Source organism: Homo sapiens, chromosome 3 (assembly GCF_000001405.40).
Source record: "Homo sapiens chromosome 3, GRCh38.p14 Primary Assembly".
Taxonomy (NCBI): Eukaryota; Metazoa; Chordata; class Mammalia; order Primates; family Hominidae; genus Homo; species Homo sapiens.
The window spans coordinates 42,643,416-42,652,930 of record NC_000003.12 but is presented as its reverse complement, the minus strand read 5'-3'; the positions used below and the strand labels follow the sequence as shown (position 1 = coordinate 42,652,930).

General features: G+C 45.2%; 1 protein-coding gene and 1 long non-coding RNA gene across 12 annotated transcripts in view; one reads left to right on the top strand and one right to left on the bottom strand.

The window, feature by feature from the left end:
- ZBTB47-AS1 (ZBTB47 and NKTR antisense RNA 1) overlaps positions 1–9,515 on the top strand; it is a 42,079-nt gene that overhangs the window by 1,458 nt on the left and 31,106 nt on the right. The window lies entirely within an intron of this gene.
- Positions 4,196–9,515, bottom strand: part of NKTR (natural killer cell triggering receptor) — a 48,124-nt gene continuing 42,804 nt past the window's right edge. For 8 of the 11 annotated variants that reach the window (XM_024453539.2, NM_001349125.2, NM_001349124.2 and 5 more), the window contains 2 exons: positions 8,928–9,032; positions 4,196–7,043 (listed from right to left, as the gene is read on the bottom strand). In XM_024453539.2, the coding sequence (XP_024309307.1) occupies positions 6,956–7,043; positions 8,928–9,032 (193 nt within the window). In that variant the 3' untranslated portion in view covers positions 4,196–6,955. The remainder of the gene's footprint in view (positions 7,044–8,927; positions 9,033–9,515) is intronic. The other 3 variants (NM_001349126.2, NM_005385.4, XM_017006474.3) reach the window with 1 other exon arrangement.

Sequence of the window (9,515 nt, the reverse complement as noted above, 5' to 3'; positions counted from 1 at the left end):
GCCTCTTCCTCCCCAGCCCACTTCCTCATCTGACTCACAGTGGATCCTAGCACCGGCCCAGGAGTTAGTTAGGGAGGGGCTGTGTGCCCATTGGTTGGATAAGGACTCTGAGGCTCAGAGCGGGACAAATCACTTAGGCATCAGCATCAGGAGCCAGGGGAAGGGGAGGTGGGGAGAAGGGACCCCTCCACGGGCTGGAAGAAGCCTGGCAGAGAGAGCTGCATGGGACATTGCTAGGCCCACTGCCAAGCCAAAGCTTGACAGAGGGTGTGGCCAGCGTGACTGAGGTAGTGATGCTGGCCCTATGGGGCCTTGCTGGGGCCTTAGCTCCAGCAGTCAAGCTGCAGAAAGGGCTGGAGGTTGGGTGAGAAGGGAGGGGACAGGTGGTGGGGAGGCACTCAGTCTCCCTGAAGGCCTCGGCTGTTCCCCTCTTGCTTCTCTGGCCTGCAGCTCATCAGCTGGGGAGTCCCAGGGCAGAGCCTGAGCTCTGTGAGCAGCTGTGGGCACCTGGCAACACTGGACCTGGCAGGAAGGAGTGGTTTGAAGAGCTGTCTGGTGGGCCCACAGGGCTGCTCAGAGCTGAGGCTTGAACTTGAACATTAACTAGAGCAATGAGGGAGTGAAAGGGCTTTCCAGACAGAAAGCCTGCAAAGGCCAGGAGGTGGAGACAATTTAGCATCTGCAGGGAACTAGAGGGGATTTGGTGTAGTGGAGTCAAGATTCCTATCGATCAGGAGTTGTCTGGTTGGTGGGAGTGAACAGGTGGAGCTAGGCAGAGGCAGAATTTCTCTCTTGGTCCTGATGAGGGGCATGCAGTAGGAGCTTCACTTCAGGGAGGTCAAGGCAGGCTTTCTGGAGGGAGGGACTGAGTTATTGGGGAGTTGACTCCTGGGCCAGAAATGCATGCCCCAGGGGTGAGTCAGGAGTCTGGAGACGCTCACCCAGCAAGGGCAGAGCTTAGTGATCCTTCACATATTTGGGATTGGGTCCTGACAAGGTCAGCAAAGCTATGCCCCTGCCTCTAGAAGACAGCTCATGGGTTTTCTCTCAATTTCCCTAAGTATCTACCCTCAGTGCTGGAGTGTCCCCAGGCTTAGTTGGGGAAACCAGATTCAACCCCACTGAAGTTAGAAAGAACAGCCCAGGTTGTGGGTATGCGTATGTGTGTGGGAACAATGCAGGACTGAGTCAGCCCGGAGGGCATGGAGCTGTGTGTAGCTGAGCCTGGGGAAGAGGGAGAGCAGAGTGGGCAATGCCAGAAAAATACAGGCAATGCAACTCAACTCGCACAGCATGTGGCCAGTGGGCTGGCAGGGAAGTTCAAAGCTACCCACTAGGCGCTGATCCGAAGCCCAAAGTTCTAGTAGGGCGGGAAAACATGAATCCCCAGGGTGTGGGGTGGGTTAAGGGTGGAGTTTACACCTGAATTCTGCCTCCACTGAACCCAGCACTAATAGGCTACAGCTGCCCTGGGTTGGGGGCCTCATGCAAACCGGTAGGTTGCCTGGTTCCCTCACAGCATAAACATCATGGCTTTGGCATTTCACGTCTCTCTTGCAGCTTCTAGGATCCTCTCCTGCCCTGTTGGTTCTGGGGGCCTTGGGCCTCTCCCTAGTGAGTGAACCTGGCTCCACACATGAACCCTCTGGGACTCCTTCACTTCTCCTAGAGTCACCACCTCAGGGGCCACCACCTCTGAACCACTGATGTATGCTTGGTTTTCTAAACGTTTAATACACCACAGTTCTAGGAGGAGGAATCCCTAGCATCCATTTTTCAGATGAGCTGAATTATAGAGGTCAAGCAAATTGTCCTCCTTCCAGTTACCCAACTGGGAAGTGGCAGAGTTGAACTTGAACCCAAGCAGCCTGGTTCTGGCCCAGAGACCTTAACGATTGTACCATAGCATAGTTGCTCATAGAAGTCCCCCTGCTTCTTCAAAATAAAACCAAATTAGGCTGGAGGCATTGAGGTCAGTGGGGACTCTTCTTAGGCTTTCTCTGGGAACCTGGCCTGATGGGAGATTTTAGTTGCTAGAGGTCCTAGGTGACCAGAGGCTGGTGAAGTGCCAGCCTATACACCCAACCCCTGTGGGCCAGGTCCACTGGGAGGCAGACTCGTCTGCAGGCTGGGAAGGGATGAGCACCCCTGGTTGTCTCTCATGTCTGAGTGTGCCAGTCATGTATACCCTCTTTCAGGGGTTTATGAGCCATAGGAGGCCCAGGATCAGGGCTCAAGATGCAGAATGCAGGTGTTTGTCCTGAGACCTCAGGTCACTCCATTTGTTGTTTCTCAGACAGGGTCTTGCTTTGTTGCCCAAGCTGGGCAGAGATGCAATCATGGCTCACTGTAGTCTCCACCTCCTAGGCTCAAGTGATCCTCCCACCTCAGCCCTCTGAGTAGCTGGGACTACAGGTGTGCATCAGCATGCCCAGCTGCTTTTTGTTCTGTTCTTGTCTTAATAGTCTTGCTATGTTGTCCAGACTGGTCTTGAACTCTTGGCCTCAAGCAATCCTCCTGCCTAGGCCTCCTAAAGCACTAGAAATATAGGTGGCCACTCCTTTTACCCTGATGTCCTCAAGGCTCTGGGCTGAAGAGATGCAACCCTCTCCAAGCTAGCCTGGGTTCTGCAGGCTGTGAAGCTCAGCTCAGTCTAGGGAGCTGGAGTTTGATGGGCTATAGTAAGTGGTGGGTCTGGGGTCTCCAAGAGGCAGCAGGCCTACCTGGGGCCTTCTGATTCACAGTGAGGAGTGGAGGCAGCAGCAAGGGAGCACTATCTCTACCTTGTACTGAAACTTTGAAAGAAAACAGACCACTAAAGCCTCCTAGCCCTGTGTGTATGTGGCCAGGGCAGGCTCTCCTTGCCTTGCACTTACCAGGCCCCGACAAGCTTCCCAGTCTGTCCTGAGATGAACAGGTGTTCTTTCAGGGTACCCAGCGTCCTCCCCTGACACCTCTGGACTCCTGAGGGGCCTTTACTGCATCAAAGAACTTCTCCCTGCTGTCTTCCCAGCTCATTCTACCACAAGGCCCTCATGGGCCTGCAGGCTCTTGCCTCACTGTGGGGAACAGCAGACTTGATTCTCTGTTCCAAAAACCAGAGTTCTCCGGAAATCTGAACCCAGTCCGTTTCACCTTGTGAGGCATGGCTTCCACATCCTTTCACCTGACCACATTAGTTTGCAACACTCCTTCAAGGCTCAGCATTTGCCTTGAAAAACTGAGTAGAGCCTCTTTTTTTTTTTCCAGTGGAGACGGGATTTCACCATGTTGGCCAGGCTGGTCTCAAACTCCTGACCTCAAGTGATCCACCCGCCTTGGCCTCCCAAAGTGCTGGGATTACAGGCGTGAGCCACCATGCCTGGCCACCTCCCGTCTCTTCTAAACAGTGATGCCCAGTTAGTGTCCATAATCTCTTGCAAGAGGGGCATTTTCCTTGAATTACCTTCCCGCCTATTTAATGCCCAGCTAATTCAGAAGAGTCAAGACCAAAGTCCTTGGCACATTTTCCCCCCAATACTGCCCAACTATCAAGTTTACCACTATCAGAACTTGATCCTGCATTTTCTTTACATTTTAAAGGAATGCATCCAGATTTGACAAATTTCAGGAGTTGCCCAACTAAGGAGTCCACTGTTAACTCAGTTTAAAAACTGAGTATCTGCAGTGAGAAGTTAACTACAATAAGTTATGTTGTATTCACTAAGAAAATAGACATTCCTTTCAGTTCTGAGGAGACAAAAGTTAATTGTACTTCCCCTGCAAATTCTTATGTGTATACTAAAAATATCACCATGAATGTTTTCTCTGGGAGTGAGTGACATGTGCTGCACTGCCTAGTGCGCTGCCGTTAGGGAGGGAAATGTAGAGGCTGTAGGTAAATGGACTGTCTCTAGGTAGAAACTCACACATGGGATGTGACATATTCCTCCCTCAGCAAAGACATCTTTATGCAGGTCATTTTAACTAGATGACAACAAAGTGTAGAGGAAATCTGGATTTTCCAGGGGAGGAAGACCAAACATCATTAATGCTTACCTGTGTAGGTTAAAATCTCTGCCTGACATTCTCTCTAGCTCCACCTCCTACACCCACCACTAACACTCAGCTAGGAGAAGAAAAGGAGCTGCCAAAGGAGATGAGGTGTCTTCACTGGCTGGGTCAGCAGAAAGATAAAACATGAACAGACTCAGACTTAGACTAAGTATATATTTTAATTTCTACAAGGTCCCCTTTCAAGTTTTAGGGAAATTTAACTGAAGTGTATACAAATTAGACATTGCTAATATGTACAAAAGTATTTTATACAGTTTTTGAACGATACTAGCTATTTGCAATAAACAGGATGTTACAAAAACAGTCCAATAATGCATTTCCTATTAAGAAGCACAATACACAACATAATTCAATTTTATTAAAAAATAACTTCAAAATGTAGAACAATCCCCTTTAGGAAGAAAAGCTATTTCTGTAGTTCACTCTGTCAGTAAACACACAAGTTGAACGCTGCAGCAGAGGGCTGTCCTTTTCCATGGAGAAAAGAAATGAGGCTTCTAGGGCCTATCTTTTCTGGGTAAAAATTCCACCTACAGCTGAGATGGGCAGTTATTGCCTGTGGTAGGCAGAATTTGAAAATGCCCCTCCCACTTTCAATGAGCTAATCTCCAGAACCCGTGAATATGATGAGATGAGACAGTACTCCTGCAATTATGTTCTATCGCACAATCAACCTTAAAATATATCTGTGGGCTTGAGCTAATCATATGCCCCTAAAACAGGAGGACGGGAGAGAGATATGAAGCATGAGAAAGAGCAGGAAGGCTGGTTTGAAGCTGGAGGGGACCACATAAGAAGGAATGCAGGCAGCCTTGAGGTGAGAGAGGGGCCTCCAGCTGAGAGCCAGCAAAGAACTGAATTCCGCCAACAACCTGAATGAACTTAGAAGCAGATTCTTCCCCAGAGCCTCCATGAAGGAATGTTGTCCTGCCAACCCTTATTTCAGCCTTTAAGACCCTGAGCAGAGAATCCAGCCACACTGTGCCAGACTCATGAGCTACAGAACTGCTATGGGTATTGTTTTTTAAACTGCTAAATTTGGGGTAATTTGTCACACAGCAATAGAAAACTAATACACTGCCCAAGGGTAACTTTTCTTAACCTAATTACATTTGGCAGTTTCTGCTTGGGTTCTGAATGCATTTTTTTCCTGCTGACTAGTAGTAATATTCTCCTTTGCAGGCAACCTTTGGAAACCTTTAATATAAATCATACTGTTTTGTATTCAGTATCCAGTATTGTTTGTTTGGCCTAAGTCCTGTTTTCTAATGTACTTTCTGTCTATTGACCTGGCAAACAACTGACCACCTTACCCTGTTTTCATACCTTCTTTGGGTGATAGTTTTAATACATTCAAGGGCACCCTCCCTCCACCAAGGGTTGTCAGCTCCCTCCAACTGAGGGCTCTTTTCCACTTCCCAAATACACCAGACAAGGCCTGTGGTAGGGTGGTGCTGAGCTCTACATCAGGCAACCAATATGAATTTCTTCTGCATAACTGGATTAAACTGGCACTAAGGTGATTAAGTACACTTGGGGAACAAATTCAAAGTAAAGATTAAAAAAAAAAACCACACACACACACACACACACACACACACACACACTAGTTTTTACAGGTCCAATTATTTTTGGAGGAACCACCCAAAGCCATGAAAATATGTAATTTATGCTATACCCTCTATCCCTCTTCCCCTGTCTCTTGCACCTGGGTCAGGTCACGCAAGGCTTTGAGTCAGCTGCAGGTCACAGTGGAAATAGGAAAAACATGCTGGTTACAACAGTTCAGCTGCTGTTGTGGTAATATCCTGTACTTGAAAGACTTGAAAGGAAAGCCCTGCAAAATGTCTCCAGGATGGTGGCAGTTAGATTTTTGATGTTACTTTTGAAGTCCATTCTTCACTCTTCCAGAGGCACACACACACAGTAGACTTGAGTGGCCAATATCTCTTACTGCCAATCCTGCCTGCTCCAGGGGACCCCAACCCACATCTGTACTTGAGAGAAGCCCCCCAAATAGTCAAAGTGAAGACAGCTCAGAATAAACCATTTTTGGTGCCAGTGATTTTGTCTGAATTTCATTTTTATGGTATTTTAATATATGATATATAAGAGTAATGCTTAAAGACGCACCAAAAATTACCAAGCACCAAAGCATGAAGTAGAATTGTTTTTATAACCTAAACTTCTGATCGGTATTGATTAAAAAGAACATAAAATAGTAAGTCCTCAGAGACAGTGCAGGTATTTATAGTTAAGGCTGATTGATTCTTCCTAACCTTGCCCACAAGCCTGAAGTAATACAGACTGTGTGGGATGTATGATGACCACTTTCCTAATCCTGTGAAGTATCAAAGAAGTTAGGAATGAATTAAGAACCCCAGAGCCACTGCCTTATACTCCTGGTTACCAACAGTATCAATTCTGGGTGGTTTGTTTTTAGAGCACATATGTACAAGACTCTATGTAATCAGTATATAAATATTTGGCCGCCTTTAACAGTTCTCCTTCACAGTTCTATGCTTGGCAGCATATATGCTAAAACTGGAAAAACAGGCAAAAAGAATCTGTATTCTAAGGGATACGTAAGATAGAGTGAAATAGACTTAAAATAATATTGCAAATTATACATAGATAAATTTCACGATTTCTTGATTCAAGAAAATGAAATTCATTTCCATAGTTGGCTACTGTAAAATGTGGCATAAAAATATTTTTAGGAGACATATCTGTATTTTAAATTCTTCTCCCCACATGTAAATGAACCAGTAACAATTAAGAAGTGTCTATTTTTGAAATTCACCTCTGATATTGAAATAGAACAACAGACTGTCATTACATTTCTTAAGCTAAGTTGCCAGATATTTACAAATAAGATATAATTTGTATCCGGACGTTTTCAACTGTATCTGCTGCTCTCACTGGGGCTCCGGTGATGAGAGTAACTTCGGTCACTTTCACTGTCAGAGCCATAAGATCTACAACTCCTGTAATAACAAAACAAAATATATAAAAATCTTGTAACTGTAAAATCTTTGAATTCCTCTTATAGCTTGTTTTTTATATGAGTGGCTTGAAAACATCAATAGTGTTTTCAAGCCACTCATATAACTGATGCACTATTGATGCAGCATAACACAGAGGTAGGGTACTGACTATGGCAACACCATGGACTTTTCTTTTTCTTTTTGAGATGGAGTTTCACTCTTTTTGCCCAGGTTGGAGTGCAACGGCATGCTCTCAACTCACTGCAACCTCCACCTCCCGGGTTCAAGTGATTCTCCTGCCTCAGCCTCCCTAGTAGCTGCAATTACAGGTGCCCGCCACCACGCCCAGCTAATTTTTTTTATTTAGTAGAGACGGGGTTTCACTATGTTGGCCAGGCTGGTCTTCAACTCCTGACCTCAGACGATCCACCTGCCTCAGCCTCCCAAAGTGCTGGGATTACAGGCGTGAGCCACCGTGCCCGACTCACACTATGGACTTTTTGAAGCTGTTTTAAATGACAAGTTGTAGTAATGTCAAGATTAAGATAAAATAAAGAAACATCACATCTTAGGAAATTTGTGTGAAATTCATTCATGCAAATGCTGGGACCACAAAAACAAAAAACCAATGAGCAGAATAGTTTCCCCATATTACCCAAAATGAGTATCAATATTTGAATAGATTACCTGAGAAAAGTAATGGGGAAAAGGTGCACAAATAGTTTCACTCAAGGAATGGAAACCAAAATGGGGTCCAATGAGGGGTGGGGGTGGCCCTGGGCATGAACAGGACCACTGGGATATTGAGTCAAGAGGACCTGGTCATGGGTCCCATTCAGTTATTTTGAAAAACATTCACTGTGAGCCAGGCATTTTGCAAGATGCTGGGAACACACACACACACACACAAAGACACAAAACCAAGTATAGTTCTCTGGGGTTCAAGGACAGAATAGAATAGTCAGCAAGACAAGTAATTTAGGAGCAAGGGGAGCCACAGTAGGAGCAAAGGGCTGTCTTAGAGGCACATGGGAGGGACTGTATCCTAGGATTAGGCATCAGGGAGGGCTGCCCAGGGACAGTGGAGATCTGCAGGGTAGATGGGAACTGGCCATTTCAAGTGGCAAAAGGGGAGATGGTGAAGAGGACACGTGTGTCTCCAGGCAGAAGGAAAAGTCCCAACACTTTAAAGGAGGGAAGCCAGAAAGAGTGTGAGCTGGAGTTGGTGCTGAGGAGGCTGGACCTGATCATGAAAGCAGCAGGGAGTCCTTGAAGAGTTTCAAGCAAGGGAGTATCCAGATCAGACTGATATTTACAAGCATCATTGCAGTTGCAATGGACAGGGGAAGGCAAGACCAGAAGCCACCAGAAAAGGACAGTACAAAAGTTAACATAAAGACTTTTGCAGAAGCCAAAATATGTTAAACATAATACATATAATACATAAAAAATGTATTTTACTAAATAATTGACAACATATAAACCTCAATCCTGCTGCTGAAGCAAATTATATTATGTATTTTTTTATTTAAAAAAAATGAGAAACTGGCTACTGCTAGCAAGTGGTTCTATTTAAGCAAGTGGCCATGGTTTGGGTGGCCTTCTTTCTTTCCAAAAGAAAGGTCTGTCCAAGATATGTGAATATTTAGAAACCCATTTTAGATTCAAACATTAATAATAACCAACAAATATTACCTGGCAACTCTTAATATAAAAGCCACTTTTAGTGGCTGCTTGTGGGTTGTTCAGATTTAAAGGAAGAAGTATTTCTGTCCTTGGAAGATTATACCACTTTCTCTTCCACTAGCAGCCCATCACCCTCCCACATCAAGTGCCCACCGTGGCCTACAGTGCGATAAAGGACGATAAAGGAGAGAGACCCACCTGGACCGCCGATTATAACTTCTGCCTCGGTGGTAACTGTCACTTCTCTGGCTTCTACTTCGACTCCGACTCCTGCTATAGTAGCTATCGTAGGTGTAGGACCTGCTTTAACGGCAACAACAAACACTAAATTTTCCCACTCAGATACTCATATGTTCCTATTTCTTTTTAGGATCTCAGGAGTGTTCTAGCTTAGAACATGGGCACTAGGTGACAGCATGAGGATATATTTCCAAAACAAGTACTGGAAACATTTAACAATTGCCCCAAATGAGACTTACCATAATTAAAGAGAAAAATGTTAATTTCTTTTCTGCATTGAAAAATATCACAAAGTTAACGAGTTAGTTTGAACCTGGTGGATCTCTGTAGGCAATTATATTCAATAAACACCTGCCATTACAATTTGATATTGTCATTTTTGACACTGGAGTACAATGGGCCAACAGATAAAACTTGTCGAACAGACCTCATTTAGAAAAGGTATGGTTTCAGGAGACAAATATATGCATTTAGTTACTCAATAAAATACCACTTTGAACAAACAGTTTACAAAACAAGATCTTTCAGTTCTGCCCCACTGGTGGT